At 54.8% G+C, this 17377-nt stretch overlaps 1 protein-coding gene across 18 annotated transcripts in view, besides 3 other annotated features; it reads right to left on the bottom strand.

Moving 5' to 3' along the window:
- The window catches only part of KIRREL3 (kirre like nephrin family adhesion molecule 3), a 580037-nt gene that overhangs the window by 33131 nt on the left and 529529 nt on the right, over positions 1-17377 (bottom strand). For 14 of the 18 annotated variants that reach the window (NM_001441257.1, NM_001441258.1, NM_001441262.1 and 11 more), the window contains 2 exons: positions 16821-16978; positions 6669-6819 (listed from right to left, as the gene is read on the bottom strand). In NM_001441257.1, the coding sequence (NP_001428186.1) occupies positions 6669-6819; positions 16821-16978 (309 nt within the window). Of the gene's footprint in view, positions 1-6668; positions 6820-7160; positions 7200-10641; positions 14640-16820; positions 16979-17377 lie in introns of those variants that run through there. The other 4 variants (NM_001441256.1, NM_001441254.1, NM_001441263.1 and 1 more) reach the window with 2 other exon arrangements.
- Positions 9199-9258: an enhancer, noted in NCBI's record as "active region_5710". NCBI's record gives its function as "activates an Ori minimal core promoter by ATAC-STARR-seq in GM12878 lymphoblastoid cells {active_cell/tissue: GM12878}" and the evidence as "EXISTENCE:reporter gene assay evidence [ECO:0000049][PMID:35858748]".
- Positions 9806-10355: an enhancer, noted in NCBI's record as "H3K4me1 hESC enhancer chr11:126336189-126336738 (GRCh37/hg19 assembly coordinates)". NCBI's record gives its function as "activates a minimal SCP1, AML or CMV promoter by ChIP-STARR-seq in naive H9 embryonic stem cells {active_cell/tissue: H9 hESC(naive)}" and the evidence as "EXISTENCE:reporter gene assay evidence [ECO:0000049][PMID:30033119]".
- Positions 10356-10903: an enhancer, noted in NCBI's record as "H3K4me1 hESC enhancer chr11:126336739-126337286 (GRCh37/hg19 assembly coordinates)". NCBI's record gives its function as "activates a minimal SCP1, AML or CMV promoter by ChIP-STARR-seq in naive H9 embryonic stem cells {active_cell/tissue: H9 hESC(naive)}" and the evidence as "EXISTENCE:reporter gene assay evidence [ECO:0000049][PMID:30033119]".

The raw sequence follows: 17377 nt of genomic DNA on the forward strand, positions 1-17377 counted from the left end.
AAAGAATGGGGGCAGGGAGATCCTGGGCGACATGGAGGATACAGCCAGAGACTCCACCACCCAGGGACCCTCAGAGCAGCCCCCGCCCTGGTGGTCTTCAGGAAGCTGGGGGCTCCATGGGAGGTGCCTGCTTCAGACAGTCCTGGAGGTGGGAACAGGGCCTCCCCGTGGACTTGGGGCCTGGTGTGGACACGAACCCCGAGCCAGGAAGCCTCAGGCTTGGGCCCAGGGGTTTCCCATCCTCCAACTTTTGGGCGGAACAAAATAATCTAGGAAGGAGAGGTGGGAAGAGGGGTGCAGGGCAGAGAGGGGCGCGTGGACACTCAGTCTCGCTTCAGTGCAGACTGTCTTTGAAATGTCTGTTTATTATCTCTTTTCCGTAAAGGTTCTGGGGCATTTGTTAACTTGAAAGCGGCATTTACACCCTTTCATCAGCCTAATCATCTCCACTCAGTCCTGGCTGGTGGCGCACGGCCTCAGCTTCCCAGGCCGGGGCTCGCTTCCTCATTTGACGTGATAAGAAGCCAGGCTCTGAAGTGCTAAATGGTGGGAAGGGGAGGAGACAGAAAGTCAGGGAGAGAAAGAGGCAGGGAGACAAGAACCAGAGACACACAGAGACACACAGAAGGGACCGGAGGCCGACAGCGAGACATGTACATAGAGGAGAGACATGGAGACCATAGAGGAAGAGAGATTATGTGTGTGTGTGTGTGTGTGTGTGTATGTGTATGTGTGTGTATGCATGTGTATATGTATGTGTGTGTATGTGTGTATGCATGTGTGTGTATGCATATGTGTATGTGTGTATGCGTGTGTATGTCTCTGTGTGTATGCATGTGTATGTGTATATGTGTGTGTGTATGTATGTCTCTGTGTGTATGCGTGTATGTGTGTATGCGTGTGTGTGTATGTGTGTATGCACGTGTGTATGTGTGTCTATGCGTGTGTGTATGTGTATGTGTGTGTATACATGTGTATATGTGTGTATGCTTATATGTATGTATGTATGCGTGTGTGTATGTGTGTGTGTATGTGTGTGTAGAGCGAGAGAGAGAGAGACAAAGATGAGGAAGTGACAGGGACAGGGAGAGACATGGGCAGAGAGACAGAAAGACACACACATAGAAATTGAGAAGTGCAGAAAAAGGGCGAGAAAAAGAGAAATCTAGAGAAGCAGAGGGCAGAGTGATGGAGAGATGGAGAGACTGACCTGTTTGCAGAGACTGTGAATCAGACAAGAATTTCAGACCAAAAGCAGAAAAGGCCACGGAGACCCGGCACATAGGGCCCGACAATGACAGGGTGTTAGAGAGAAAGACCAAGTCAAACAACGAGGAAAAGAGATATGAAGGAGGAGCAGACGCTGCAAGATGGAAAGATGGAAACAGCTCGAGGGGGCTGCAGCAGAGAGACAGAGAGGTGGGAAGGGCTTCCATCAGCCTGGCCCTGCCCAGCTCAGGGGCAGCTGGCTCTGGATCCTCTCCAGAGGCTGGTGTCACCCCTGCTGCTGGGCTCCTGGTGGCCCCCAGGCCTCGGCACCCCCGGGGCATCCACACGCCGAGGGATGGGGGATAACGAGCCAGTTCCCATCCTTTTTCCCTGTCATGGCCCAGAGCTCTGGCTGAGTTGAGTGGGCAGCCCAGGACCTCATCCCCATGGACAGGCTGGGCCCTGGGCTGCATCTTCTGGGTCAGTCCCCACCAACAAGCAGAGCAAATTGCTGGAAAGTCACGAGGACTTCTAGGGGTCCAGCCCATTTCCAGAAAAAGAAGTAAAGAAACCAGTTTCTCAGAGGCAATGAGGAAAAATGCTGGTCTCTTTCGGTCCCCATGGGGGCACCACAAAGGGAGCAAGGCCCCAGCTGGCCCAGTTGGTCTGGGCTCTGGTTGGGACTACGGTGGGGTCCTGAGACCCTCAGAGAGTCATACAGTCATGCACTCAGCCTCTAAGCTGCAGACCGAGCCGGCCTTACTCTGGAGTTCGGATCACATAACTGCTCAGCTGCCCTCTTCCTGCTGGTGCCCAAGAGGACCCTGCCTCCCTGCCTAGTGCCAGGCACGGGAGCTGGCCTGAGAGATGGCCCCAGGGCTGTGCTGGTGTCTGCAGGCACTGGGGAGAGAACTCTGTTTTCTGAGTAGCAGGTGGCTGACTGTGCTGGGGAGCCTGTTCTCCCACATTTTCCCTAGTTCCAGACGGGGGACCACAAATCCAGGAAACCTCTGCTCCTGGTGCGGTCAGCCTGCCTGCCTTTCGTGGGGAATTACAAGGGAAGTGCCCTCACTTGTGATCTCAATCCCAGTTGTAAGGCATAATTCAAGTGGTCACAAAGATGGGGTTACAAGGAATAGCCACGAGAACGCTCCTCCCACCCCCAGAACCCCGTGACCTCTCCTCGAAGCTGCACCCTAGCTTCCAGGGCAAGGCTGAATCAGGAGTTCCAGCCCTCTTTCCATGCAGGGCTGGCTGGCTGATCTGGGCGTCCGTGGGACCCTACCTAGAGAACATGGACACTCAGGGAGGAGCCTGCATCTCGCCGTGGGTTGGAGAAGTGGAGGTGGGGCAGAGGAGCTTGGGAATCGCCACCGGATCCAAACGCATTGCTGGCCCGTGCCCTCGCATTATAAAGGCCAACGCTGGGACGTGAGTACCCACCCCAAGTCTGGTTTGAGGAGGTGAGTGCCAGTCCCATAGGCTCAAGGGACCCGCCACAGAACTTGGGGGGCTGTTCCAGGAGGCCCTTCCCTCACCTGGGGGTCTTTTCTAAAGTGATGAGGTCTGAGAGGCAGGGAGGTGGGGCACACACCTGTTGTAGGACCTTCCTGCTGCCCGATGCCTCATCACGCCCCTGCCATGATCAGCTCACTCGTAAGGCTGCTCTCCTGCACTTTCCCTTCCTCTTAGCATCGTCTTTGGTGATCACCTGCCCCGAAGCGATTCACAAGGGTTCCACACTCACTGGCCATATCTGCACCTCCACCCCAAGACCAGAGGTGCCCAAGCTTCTTTCTCCACTTCTGCTGGTGTACAGAATATACATTTTCAGGAGTCTGCCAAGCTCCAGAGGTATAAATAGTTTATGTCATATCCAACTATTAAACATGATTTTAATCTCACTTGTGATGTCGGCAGCATAACTTGCAGGAGGGCAGCTTTGATGTAGCTGGTGGAACTGAGATCACATTGAACAGATGTTACAGCTGAGAGTCTGTTAGTGTTTCCATCCGCCCGTGTGTGCGTGTGTCCATGTGTGTGTGTTTTCAGGGGAAGTATTACATGGAGGAGAGGGTGGGAAAAGAGAGAATCTTCATGACTCAGTGATTTTGTAGCACATTCATTTGAAACTTGGCAGCTGGACACAGAGTCCAGATGTGGTGAGGCTTTGGGGGTGTTAAGCTTTCTCTCCCATTACTCAATCTGAGGGCTTTGTCTTCCGTTGGGTAACATATGAAGACCAAGAGAAACAAACAACAAATGTGCTTTTGCTGAGTTTGGATGCTTCTTGGTTGACTGAGAAAATGAGCAGGTTCACAAAGGCAGCTCTGATGCAGCCCATGGTGTCCTTAGTAAACAGTTGGATGCTGACTGAATGAACAAATGAATAAATGGAGGAGGAGCGGGAGCAGGAGGAGGGGGAAGGGGGGAGGGAGCGGGTGGAGAACGTGTGCTTTGCTTGGCAAGCACATACAAGCACCTTCAGGCTAGGGGCGGTGAGCGCGGGGACAAATGGATGAAGATCCCTTGCCTGTTAGGGCTGTGGGGACACCTGATGAGGGGCACCACTCACCTATGGCTCTGCGTCCTGACAGCAGCTGGTAGGTGTGGGGCACTCACAACGTGTCAGACACTGCGCTAGGGGGCTTGACAGGAAGGATTTCATTTAATCCTCACTGCAACCTTAGGAGGTAAGCATGATTACTTCCATGTACAGAGGAGGAAATCGGGGCACAAGGAGGTTAACTAACCGGGTCAGTGCCACTCAGTAAGTGGCAGAGAGTTCAAAGCAGGAAGAATGCTGTGGCCTTCACCACTACCCAGTACTGCCTTGGACGAGGCTGGTCTGGGAAACTGGGCTGCTGGGCCCCAAGTGTCACTCTGACCTCATTCTGACGCCTCCTAAGGTGGCTGAGATGTCCTTGGAAAGGAAGCCAGAAAGGGCCCAGAGGCCTGGCAAGACCCAGTGTCCTCTGGATGCAGACTGTCACCTGCACCCTGTTGAACGATCTTCTGTGGGCATGAGTGCAGAAGGCCGGGTGGGCTGTGGTTAGGAGGGCGAGTTTCCCGTTGCCTGGAGAGGTTCTCCTGGGGTAATGCCTGGAGCAGGAAACTGCTTCTTCCCACCTCTCCCTGCCAGGACCTACGCTGCTGTCGCAGGGGGCCAGCTAGATTGTCACTTTTGTCCAGGAGTCTGTAACATTTTGTACAGGCCTCCTGATCAGGTTGGGGACAGGCTGGGGAAGAAGCGAGGGTGGTGGTGGTGGCAGTGAATCGAATGGCAGCCTGGAAGTAGGAAGCTTGGATGCTCTGTGTCTCCCGCCCTCTCCCCTTCCTGATTTGGATTGCATCTGGACAGAGAGCTCTGATCCGTGGCCAGTCCTCGGGCAAGAAGGGGCCTTGGATGTCATTTGGCCAAATCAGACAAGGAACCAGAGTCCCCTAGGGTGATGTGACAGGCGTAGGCCCAGCCCACCCATGGGTTGTGGAGCCGTCGTGGATGCTGGACTGCATGGCTTTGCGGCATCTCACCTTTTCCAGTGGGGCTTACTGCTCCATGTGGCTGCTCACCACACAGGAGGAGGCGGTGCTCAGACCCAGGACCCAGGCCAGGGCCAGGGCCAGTGAGGGGGAAGAGCCGAGGGTCGGAGATTAAGGAGGCCTGGCCTCACTTTCAGGGCCAGCCCTGCTTGCACTGTGTGCCCCGGGACCTCCTTCAGTCACCCTAGCTCTAGGCTTGGCCAGAGCTCCGCGGCCCTGGCTGCTTGTGAATGAGGATGCCAGAAGGCTCCTTGGTACAGGGGTATGTCGGGGGTTGTAGGGGGGACAGAGATGTTTGTTAATAGCTGGTGGCAAGACAGTGAAGATAAAGTCCCCCCCGCCCCAAGAACTCAGCCTTTGTGTGTGGGTATCTTGAGCCTACCTGAGGTTTTCAACCATTTCTTCTGCCCTCTGGAATCTAAATGGTGTCTGTCAGGATTCTAGACACTGGCTGGGAACTTCTGCTCTCAGCTGCCAAGATGAGCTCTCAGAACCTTAAGACCTGGACCCCATCTCTGGACTCCAGGTCCCTGGAGAGACACTCGGAGCCCAGAATCCACAAGGCTTAGAGAAATCAGGGCTGTTAGGAAGTGTTTTTAAATGCACTTGCTTTAAAATGAGTAAAAGGCTAAGGAGGACACGAATGCCAGCCTGCAGCTCCAGCCTTGAAATTCAGAGCCCAGGACAGAAGCAGCCACCTGCTTGCAGTAGCGTTATGTTTGGCGGCAGGGAGGGGATCTCAGAGGAGAGAAGTCCACTTTTGAGTCCTGACTCTTTAAACTGAACTAATCCAGTCTTGAGAGGAAGGCCCCTGGAACACCTTGCTGAGCTCTTCTTGGTTCTGGGGCTGACAGGCACCTTAGGGAGACTTTTAGGAGACTTTCAGGGGTCTCTGTTAGGTGGTTGTGGGATGCGATGCTGGTGGAGCCCTGAAGCATCATAACTGTCAACATGAATCCTAACACGGGCCACCGAGGGCTGGCTGGGCAGGAGTGTGGAGAGGATGTTACCAGGGTGGACTCTGGAAATCTATGCTACCTAAGTGGTCTTGGGCAAGTTAATCACCCTTTCGGTGCCTCAGTTTCCCACGGTAGGGACCACAGTTGCACCTTCTCCAAACAGTTGTTGTAAAGATTAAATAAGGCCAGGCGAAGTGGCTCACATCTGTAATCCCAGCACTTTAGGAGGCCAAGGCGGGCGGAACACTTGAGGTCAGGAGTTTGAGACCAGCTTGGCCAATATGGTGAAACCCCATATCTACTAAAGATACAGAAATTAGCTGGGTGTAGTGATGGATGCCTGTCATCCCAGCTACTCAGGCAGGCTAAGACAGGAGAATCGCTTGAACCTGGGCAGCAGAGGTTGCAGTGAGCCGAGATTGCGTCATTACACTCCAGCCTGGGCAACAGAGTGAGACTCTGTCTCGAAAGAATAAAAAAAAGATTAAATGAGATAATACATGTAGATTTCCTTCTTCTTGTCCCCTTGATCAACCCTTCCATGAGAGTGGCTGGTGCACCCTCTCCAGAGCACAGCGCTGCTTGCCAATTCTGAAGCCTGGGGACCCTTCAAATACCAGCATCTCCACTCAGACTTCCCCTCCAACAGAGGGGCCACCGGCTAGGCCAGCAGAGGCAGCAGCTGACCGTATTTATTGGTGTGAAAGTCCCACCTTGTACAGGTGTTGAAATGTGGCCTGAAGATGTCCTTTGCGAAAGACCCTCATCTGTGAGGTTGCATCTCATGACAGTAAGGAAGACAAGATGGTCCTTCCTGTCCGTATCTACAAGCTGGCCAATCCACAGAGCTGCCTGACCCATTTCCTGCTATCAGATGGGCCAGGCTATGGTCAGGGTTGCTGGGTGTTTCACCCTGGGCCTGGCAGGGCTGGGTTGGGGGAGGGGGTGGGTACTCACGCTGGATGTCAATGGTGACCGACGTCTCCTTTCCTCCGGGGATGGCTTTGTTGGTGGCACGACACACGATGCTCTGGCCATTCTCCACGTCACCAGGGGAGATGAAGAGGGTGCTGACGATGCTCTCCCGCTTGCCGTCCCGAAGCAGGGTCTTGGGAGAAAGGGAAAGGGGAGAGAAAGCTCCATGTCGCTTGGCTGGGGTGGCCAGCCTGGGTTGGGGGTAAACGAGCACCAGCTTAGACAGAAGGGGGAGCTGTGGATGGAGGGGTTCAGCTTAGGAGACCTGGGCTGCCCATGTCTACGCAGAGCTCGGGGGTTACCCCCTGGCTCCCTGGCCTGGCTAAGTGCTGGGCTGTGGAAGGAAAAAGGAACTAGACAGTTTTCCACCATGTGAAAATTAGCCTGGATTCACATGCTAAAAGCACAAAAGAAAGCAGGATGGGTTTCATGGAAACCAGGCTTCAGGGAGGTCCCATGTTGAAATGAACTCACATCTTTTTGCCTCTGGTGCTTGAGTGACAGTCTCAGGCTCTGTAGGAAGCAACGAGATGGTTTGCAACCAGCAGGGACTGTGGCCCCTGAGCGGGGACAGTCTGCAGAGGAGGCACAGTTTGGGGAATGGGAGTCAGAGTGGGTGGGGATATGGGCAGAATCAGTGCACATCAACCTTTCGATTATTTGCCTATATAAATCCTTTCAACTTTCCAAAGCGTTTCACTCCCTGATCTCATTAGAGTCTCAATCAAACCATAGGTGGGACAGATACCATTATCTCCCATTGGATAGGGGAGGAAATAGGTGGGCTAGACAGAGGCTATGGAGCTTGACCAAACTCACATTTCAAGTTGGTCCTGAAATAAGTACTAGTCTCCTACAGCAGGTTGAATGGTGTCCTCTCCAAATTCTTGTCTACCAGGAACCTCAGAATATGACCTTATTTGGGAATAGGGTCTTTGCAGTTTAGTTAAGCAATTAGTAATTAGTTAAGGCTCTTGAGATGAGGTCATACTGGATTCAGAGTGAGCCTTAAACCCAATGACTGGTGTCCTTGGAAGAAGAGAAGAGAGTCTGCTGGGTGTGGAGGCTCATGTCTGTAATCCCAGCACTTTGGGAGGCTGAGGTGGGAGGATTGCTTGAGCCTAGGACTTGGTGACCAGCCTGGGCAACATAGGAAGATCCTGTCACTACCAAAAAAAAAAAAAAAAAGAAAAAAATTAAAAAAAAATTAGCCAGGCATGGTGGCTTGTGCCTGTAGTCCCAGCTACTTGGGAGGCTAAGGTGAGAGGATCACTTGATCCCGGAAGGTTGAGGCTGCAGTGAGCTGAGGTTGTGCCACTGTACTCCAGCCAGGGCCACAGAGTGAGACCCTGCCTCAGAAGAAGAAGAAAAAGAAAAAGAAAAAGAAGAAGGAGAAGGATAAAGAGAAAGTGAAAGAGAAGAGGAGGAGGAGGAGAAGAGGAGGATGAGGAGAAGACAGAGAGAAACAGAGAAGGCCAGGTGAAGGTGGAGGCAGAGATTGGAGGGATGCTGCCACAAGCCAAGGAATGCCAGGAGCTGCCAGGAGCTGGAAGAGGCAAGGAAGGATTTTCCCCTGGAGCCTTTGGAGGGGCACAGCCCTGCTGACACCTTGATTCCAGACTTGTTGGCTTCTACAGCTGTGAGATAATTGATTTCTGTTGTGTCATGCACCGAATTGTGGTGCTTTGTAATGGCAGCCCTAGGAAGCAAACCCATCTTAACTGCTGGTCTCCCACCTTCCCAGGTCATTGCTTTTCTCTACTGGGCCACAATGTCATTCCGAAGCTAGTTCCCCATTGTGGCTGCTACCTCCTTCCCTCTCCTGTTCCTCTTTGCAGCTACTTCCCCATCACTTTGGGGCGCACTAAGTCAGGTGCACCCCGGGGAGGGTGTGCTGAGTGTGTGTGGGGGTGCACTTCCAGGTTGGGATTGGGGTCTGGTCAGTATGCAAAGGCTTCTGCTACTAGGAGGTACTAGGAAGGAACCTCACTATGGGTGCAGTCCTGTTTCCCCCGACTGGAGCCAGGGAGTAGATGAACAGACCACTCCTCCCTCAAAACCTCCCATAAAGTGACAATGGCAATGTCTCTAATTCTTATGAGGGCCCCGGAAGACAGCAGCATTATCTTTGATTAGCCAAAGAGAAACCTGTGTTCCAAGTGAGCCGGGAACTTGCTGGGTGGAGCTAGGATTTGCACTTAAGAATGGGTGAACCCTGAGCCACAGCCTCTGCTGCAGCCCCGGGGGTGCTGGACGGTGGGTACCGTGCTCTTGGCAGGACAGATGGGAACAGTTAGGGCCACAGGGAGAAACCTGTAAGCTCCTAGAACCCCACATTCTGGGTCCTTAATTCAGTGAGGTTTTTCTCAACTTGGGGCAAACCTCGTGGCGTCAGGAGAACAGGGCCAGAGCCTCTATATAGAACAGCACATCTTGCTGGAGGCAAAGCCGGACTGTGACATTCTAGAGAGCCACGCGGTGCAGCTGCAGGCCTGGGACTCAGGGTGCCAGCCACGGCCCTGGGCAGAGGGGCTGGAGGAGAGTGACGTGGCCAGATGCAGCAAGCCGGGGGCAGGACCACTGCAGAGGAGTGAAGTTGAACCCCAAGCCAAAGCCCGGGCAGGGAGGGAGCAGCAGCTGGCACCGCTTTACCACCCTGCCTTGGGCTCTTCAGCAGACCTCATCGAGTCTATAAATAGCCAAGTGATAATAAGAACAATTTCCTGGATGAAACTAAGACTTCGGGTAGGGCGCGCAGGGGCGGGGAGGTGGTGAGGAGCAGGTTGGTATTCTTCTTCTCTTCTTTACATTTCCGTTGTGCTAACAAGGGACATTTACATAAGCTTGACTCTGCCAGGAGCCCTTCCAACGGATGGGCTCTGGGCGGTGGGTGCCAGTGGCAGGGGAGGGAGGGGACCCAGCTCTAATTAGGCCCTCTGACTGCTCCCCCTCCTCCCTGCACCCAGCGTGCTCCTCCGCCTCGGAATGATGATTAATGACATATTTACTGGGTCCAGGCGTGTGCTTTTCTGGGAAATAAAAATTCTGGTTCAAGTTGTTTGTTCCACCTAATTAGAGAAAAAGGGAGATGTGTTCATTAAACAAAAGGAGGGTGAGGGGAAGGCACGTGCCCCAGCACCAACACCCTCTCTGTCCCCGTGGAAGGTCCCAGCACCTCCTGGGCCCCTAGCTCGCGGGGGACCCCAGGCCCCGTGCAGCGGGTATCCCAGGGAGGAAGGCTGGGTCTGCCAGCTCTGCTGCAGGACGACTGAGGGGAGGAAGGTGGGACAGAGCTGGGGGGCCCAGGGGGAAGGCTGGAGGGAGCCCTGCACCTGCAGGACAGGGCGGGATGTGGAGGGGCACGGGGGATCTGCACCCCCGGGTTTCTCTTCCCCCATTCCTTTCTGATCTCGCCTCTCTTGTTTCTTTTGCTTCACTCCTTTTCAGAAATGAATCTCCCCTAATTGTCACTTTTCTCATATGCAAATGGAGCCTCTGGACTTTGCAGCCTTGAAGGTACTGTCCAGGAGAACATTCTATCATCTGCAGGTTCTAGTCGCAGCTCCACTCCGCCCCTCCCTTCCCTGCTTCCCTTCACTGAGCTTGGCTCTGGGGACACACCATGGGCATTGAACCTCCCACCTCCTGCTTCAGAAAGCTTCATGCCTTGCAGGTGAGCTCCAGAAGGAAGTGAGTTATTCATGGTGGGCCACTCACTGTGGGAGCCACCGCCTCCAAGGCCTCCCTCCAGTGTGGTGAGCACTAACGTGCTGCCAGCCCCCGGCTCGCCCAGGTTGCCCATGTGACTGCCATGGTGGCTCCCAAGAGTCCCCGAGGACCCAGCTCCTGTGTGTGCAGATATGGGCCAGGGGCAGGCATATAGATGGCGTGTGTGCAGCATGTGTCCGGGAACGAGCGTGCCAGGGCATACACCCCCGTGGGTATGTGCGCGTACCTGTTTTTGTCTTTGGGTGTTCATGGGCCTCTGTCCACTGACTGCCGTGACTCTGCGGGGCCCCAGGTTCTCTCTGGACGCTGCCTGCTCAGGTGCCGCCTCAGGGCTGTGCACCCACCCCCACTGCCCCTCCCTAAGGGCAGGGATTTGGCACTCACTTCTCTAGTTCCCCAGCACCGGCCTGGGAGGCCGGTCTTCCCAGGTATGGTTGTACACAGTGTACCCCACCCCATGGTTTTCCTGCTTGGGTGGCAGTGGCTGGCCACTCTGCTCTTTCCAAAGCCCCCAGGGCCTCCTCTGGGCAGTGGAGAGCCAGGCTGAGCTCTCGGAAATGGGTGGGCTGGAGGGCAGACAAGGGGTGGGGGCCCAAGCACTGGTGCTAAATATGGGGTGCCCGATGACAGGCAAACCGTCTGGAAAGGCCGAGAGTAGCCTGATTGCCTGGCAGCAAGGCCGCCTCGCTTCTCCCCGCTACTCACCTTCCCCACCTGCTGGGTCCCTTTTTTTTTTTTTTTAAAAAATCATGGCTCTGCTTCCCCTTTTGATAGCTGCTTGGGGCTCCCCATGGGCTGGTTGCCACCTGGCTTGAATAAGGGTGTGTGGGCCAGGTGGAGGATGCGCAGTGCTTTTTGCCCCAGTCCCTGCATCCAGCCTTGAGGCCAGAGGCCAGAGGGGTGCCCTTCACAGAGAAGGCCAGGATGAGCCTCGGCCACACCCAGTGGAGACTCTAGGCCCCTAAGCTGGGCAGATAGGTGCAGGGTGATGGGTGAGTGACCAGGGAGGGGGTGCCCAGTGGAGGGTGAGGGCCCTATGCATGTGGGCACTTATCCCTTTCCTGAGTGGGGTCTCCAGAGCTCCTCTTAGCAAAGGTGGTAAAAGGCGAGGCCAGTGGTCCTGGTGGTAGGGGTAGAGGGCAAGGGGCTCCAAGCAGACACAGACACGACTGTGCGTGCTAAGACCTTGCAACCCTCCTGCCTGGCAGGAAGCTGCACTTAGGAAGGGTTCTTTCTGGGCTCAGCCTGTCCTCTCGCCCCTCCTCTTCCGTAACCCATCCTTCCTCCCCTGCTGTGTGGACTTGGGGGCTTTCCAGAAGAAAGAATGTGGTCTCCACTCTGGCGCCAGGCCCTCAGAAGTATGAGGAACAGGGAAGGAACCCACTGTCCCCAGACAGCCCAGGGTTGAGTCTCCAGGAAGAAGCTTGGAGGGGCCTTTTCCTGCTCTGTGCCTCTGCAGCCGACACCCGCTGGGAGCCTGCAGTGGGCACTGCCCAAGGCCCCATCCGGCAGTGTGGCTCGCCCTGCACCCTGGAGGCTGTGACAGTGGCCTGTTAAGGAGAAGCATGGCCAGCCTGTGCTGGGGGAGGGACTGGGTGCTTCCTCTCCTGCCCTTCCTCCTGGGGAAGGGGCCTGGTGCCCTCCAGGGCTGAGGCTCATCCCTCCCCTACTGGTCCCATGGTGGAGTCACAGAGAGAATGGTCGGTGAGCAACCCAGAAACTTTGAGAACAGGCCTGGTGTTTTATGAAATAGCTGTATGACCCCTGGGGCAGGGAACTGGGGTTCCCCCTGTGGGACAGGAGCCAATAATAGTAGCTCACATTTATCCAGTCCTTACTCCTGCCCTTGACAGGGTGCTTCTGATGCATAATTTCTTGTAAGTCACTCTGCAACCCTAACAGACATCCGTGATCATTATCACTGCATTTTGCAGCTGGGGAAACTGAGGCAGAGGGTGACATCACCATGTTATGTTACGGATCCCAGGTTTGAGCTAGGCCTTCAGAACCATGTGGCCAGCCTAACTATGACACCGATGTCTGCATATGGGAAACGCGAGGTCCATAGTGGGGTGGACCTTGCAGCCGTGTGGATCCAGTGAGGGGGTGACAATCCCAACAGCAGTGCTTGTTGCAAGCTCGCTATGTGCCAGGCGTGTTTCTCATTCAACTCCTCACAAGCACCCCTTAAAGTGGGTGCTGCTGTCGTTCCCATTGTATGGCAAGGACAGGGAGGCACGGCAAGGTGAGGTCACGCAGCTGGAAGGTGGCAGAGCCCGGATCCAAATTCAGGCTGCCAGCTCCTGAGCCCACGGGGATAATCATCCACCATGTGACAGCCACTGAGGGCGTCAGACCCGACAGCAGCCAGGGCTGCCCTGAGGGGTCTTTTCTGGGGTCCTTGGAGGCTGCCTGATTTTGTGTGTGCTCCCAGCTTCTCTTCCTCTCTGCGGCTGATGCTCTGGCCCCTCCTCATATGTAGCCTCTCTGGGGAAGTCAGGAGTGCTGTTGGCCTATGGCAGGGCTCCTTGCAGCCCTGGGGGAGGAGGGGGTGGGCTGGGTCCCTGGGAGGGGAAGCAGAGGGGTTGGCTCGGACAGCCCCCAGAGCCTGCTCCATAGGAGCCCTGGATTGTGTAACCTACTGGGTATACTCCACATCACAGGCTTGTAGCTTCTCCCTGCCCGGCACACAGCCCCGTGCCTGGGGAAGCTCCACTGACGTGTGCGGGCTCTGCTGGTCACCCCTTTGGTCTCCATGAGAACCACTGGCCGTGGGGTGGACAGTTAGGATGGTGGATGACCATGGTTTGGAGGAGAGGCCCAGAGAAATGAAGTGCCTTGCCTTGGGACACAGGGCCTCTTCCCATGCTCATGTCCAGGGACACATTGAGGGTCTCAGGCCTCTGCTGCTCCCTGGACAAGCCACAGAGGGGCAGGAGACCATCTGAGGTGACTGTCCCCTGAGGAATCTGTTTCTCTTCCGGAGCGTCTGATCCAACACCTTCATTTTGCAGACGAGGAAACAGATGCCCAGGGAGTGAGTTGCCTGAGGTTATGCAGTGGAAGCTGGAACCCAGGCCTGCGACTGCCTGGCGCTGCCGTTCCCGTCACAGGCCCAGGAGCATGGATCGGGTCCCCCGCCCTGCTGTGCAGTAGTATGGTACCAGGCTCTCCGAGGGGCCTTCACAATGTAGACAAGGATGACATGTTGAGCTCAAGGTGATCCTGGGACAGGTCCAGCAGAGTGACCCTGACCTCTCTCTCCACCTGATGGCATGTGTCCTCTGCAGGACATTGACTCTGCTAGGGTCCAGGCTGGCCCAAGTTCAGGGAGGGACAGGACAGGTGCTCAGACTGGAAGGAAAGCCCCTATCCTTCCTTTTCATTCTCCTCTGGACAACTCTCTCTCTGTGTTATATCCTTGTATTACATAACAGGACAGGGTGGCTTCAGCCCAGGACATAAGGGAGAGGCTTGTCTTCCAAGAGGCAGCCATCCCTCCCTCCCCCTGGACTTGTGTCTGAGGGAAGGAGTTTGCCCTGGGTTCTGGCACCAGGTGCTGGGTTCTTTGATCGGCAGCCCTGGAGTGACCTCTTGGCAGGTGGTCAGTTTGGGACAGGAAAGACACACCCTCAGAGTGGGGACGGGCCTGCCTCACATCCTCGGATGACCAAGGCCCTGCTTATCTTTCCAGGATTGCTTAGAGGACTGGTGGGTAGGGGGAACCAGGCCGTGTATTTCCCCAGTCTCTGAGGACAAGGAAAACCCTCAGACCTGAGGCGAGCGGGCGTTCTGGAGGCTGGGCCCCCAGCTGCGGAGCTTGGGGGACCGGCTTGCCCTAGGAGGAGCATGGGCAAGGGCAGAGGCCAGGGTGTCAGGAATTGTGGTTCCAGGCCTGGCACTGCCCACTCCACCACTGAGAAGGACAGTCACTTCCCCACCAGGCCTCAATTTTCTAGCTGCAGACAAAAGAGGTTGGCCCAGGTATACTGTAAGGCCTCATTCATCTTAGAGGCTCTGTGGTACATTAACCCCATCTGGGACTCTATGCACAGTTTTGTTGAGTGGAGTTTGGTGGGGGCTGTTTAAAAATGTACCCAGAATTTTGTTTTTATTCAGGTAGAGGGAGGCCAACAGATCAGGAGACAACTGCCGTTGAAAAGACAGTTTGCGGCCGGGCGCAGTGGCTCAGTCCTGTAATCCCAGCACTTTGGGAGGCTGAGGCAGGTGGATCACCTGAGGTCGGGAGTTTGAGACCAGCCTGACCAACATGGAGTAACCCCGTCTCTTTTAAAAATACAAAAAAAGAAAAAAAAATTAGCTGGGCATGATGGCACACGCCTGCAATCCCAGCTATTCTGGAGGCTGAGGCAGGAGAATCACTTGAGCCCAGGAGGTGGAGGTTGCGGTGAGCTGAGATCACGCCATTGCACTCCAGTCTGGGCAACAAGAGTGAAACTCTGTCTCAAAATAAATAAATAAATAAATAAAATAAATAAAAAATAAAAAAAGAAAGAAAAAAAGAAAAGACAGTTTGCTACTCATAGTTCCCAGAGGAAGGGGAGGCCCCAGGGTCAGTTGGGGCTGGGGTGGGAGGTGTGGGGAGAGTGTGGGCACAGCCTCTGTTGTGGCTTGCTTTCATAGGAAGGAATGGTGAGGTAGGGTTGGTGGCTCAGCAGGTTTAGGATTGGATAGCTTGAATAATTTCCCTGGGCCCTGAGCTGTAGGGGTGGTCTGATGTGTGGCCCTGGGGAGATTTAGGGTAGGGGTATAATGTCCTGGACTATGGAGCCTGATGAAAAAAGGCTGTGGGGGCCTGGGCTCTGGATTGGTTGGTCTGCTTTGATATAAAGCCTGCTTGCTATCTCCAGGAATTAGCTTACCCTGGTCCTTCCCTGGGTCTGCAAGGCCCCAGATGTCAAAGCATCATAAAATACACAACATTTTAAAGACACAATTAATACGGGGGCCAGTTCAGGGTGCTTCCAGCCCTTGGTATCGTGTGTGAATTAGAGACCAGAACCCCTGTTGGTAGACACAGCAGGGCAAGGGCTGTTGGGTAAGGGATCATGGGCTGGATTTCAGCCCTCCCTGGCCCCTGAGCCAGGCACCTTGGAGATGGTGGAGCCTAAACGGCTTCACCTGGCAGCCCTGGAAAGTGGCCAGATTTAGCAAATAAAATACAGGATACTCAGTTAAATGTGAATTTCAGATATATAATGACTGTCTTCTTTAGTATAAGTATGGCTTGTGAGTATGTCCAATGCAGTATTTGGAAGATACTTACATTAAAAAGTTATTATTTTTCTGAAACTCAAATTTAACTGGGCATCTGTCTTAGCCCAGCTGGGCTGCTATAACAAGATATATAAACTGGGCGGCTTATAAACCACAGACATTTATTTCTCACTGTTCTGGAGGCCGGGAAGTCCAAGATCAACGCAGATTTGTTGTCTGTTGAGGGACAGACACCTGGTTCATAGATGCCCTCTTCTCACTGTGTCCTCACAATGTGGAAGGGACAAGGGGTCTCCCTCAGGCCTCTTTTTTGTAAGGGCACTGATCCCATTTATGAAGCTCCACCCCCATGACCTGATCATCTCCTAAAGGCCCCACCTCCTCATACTTGGGGGTTAGGATCTTGACATAGAAATGTTGGGAGCCACAAACATTCAGACCGTGATTGCATCCTGCATTTTATCTGCACCCCTAGAACCTGGCCACTACTGTCCCTGAGTCTCCTCGTCTGACCATGGCCTATTGTTAGGGTCTTCCCCAGCAGTTACCCTAGGACATAGAGGAGAGAGAGAGAGAGAGAGAGAGAGAGAGCACAAGTCAGATAAAAGGATGGACACACATACAAATGAGTAGGAGAACCACAGCATGAATGAGAAAAAGTGACACAGAGTGAGAGAGCAAAAAAAGATACAAGGAGACAAAGAGTGAGAGAAACCAAAAGGGGCAGGAGAGAGGGACAGCTGCAGAGAGACAGGGCAGCTGGTTCCCTCCCCATCCAGCCCCCATTATCCCCCCTCTACCTAAGCCCAGCCCCTCCCCAGCAGCCCCCCACCATCCTCCTCTCTACCTAACCCCCAGCCCCTGCCAACCAGCCCCCCACTATCCTCCCCTCTACCTAACCCCCCCAGCCCCTCTCCCCAGCCCCCACCATCCTCTTCTCTACCTAACCCCCCAGCCCCTCTCCTCTTAGGCCCCCATCTAGCCCCCCGCCTAACCCCCTCTCTACTTAACCTCCACCCCTCCTAGTCCCCTCCTAATCCAGCCCCCGCTCCTTTAGCCCCCTCCTTACCTAGCCTCCTCCCCATCAACTCCCTGTCCACCTAGCCCCCTCCCCACCCACTCCCCTTGAAGCCCGTCCACACCCACCCCCTCCCCTCCAGGCCTCACCTTGGAGTAGGTGGCCCCATTGATGACCTCTCCCTTTCGCAACCAGATGATGGAGGCTGCAGGCTTGGCATTGTCTGCGTGGCAGGTGAGGTTGAGAGGGTCCCCCGCACGCAGGCTGATCACAGGGCCCCCCAGGATGACGGGGTCATCAGGCGGCACTGCGGGGAGAGAAGCAGTGAGGTCAGGCCGAGGCTCCCACCTCGGGCAGGACGGCAGGCAGGCTGGGAGGATTTTGTGGAGATGGCAACAAACAATAATTATCACACATTAATAAAACGCATCGTCCGCTTGTATCGTAATGATGAGAGCAGCACCCACAGTGATCCCTGACATGTGCACTGCGTGCTTACAGTGGAGGATATTCCTGCCAGTCATCGCATCCCTGCTCAGGACCTGCCAGGAGGGGACAGGGCCAGCAGCCTCAGCCTGCACTCCCAGACCCAGAAGCAGAGCTCTGTGGCCCAGGCGATGTCTGTGGCTGCTTTTTAACTTCTTTTTCCTTTTTTCGAGATGAAGTCTCTGTCACCCAGGCTGGAGTGCAGTAGCATGATCTCGGC

This window comes from Homo sapiens, chromosome 11 (genome assembly GCF_000001405.40).
Source record: "Homo sapiens chromosome 11, GRCh38.p14 Primary Assembly".
NCBI classification, from domain to species: Eukaryota; Metazoa; Chordata; class Mammalia; order Primates; family Hominidae; genus Homo; species Homo sapiens.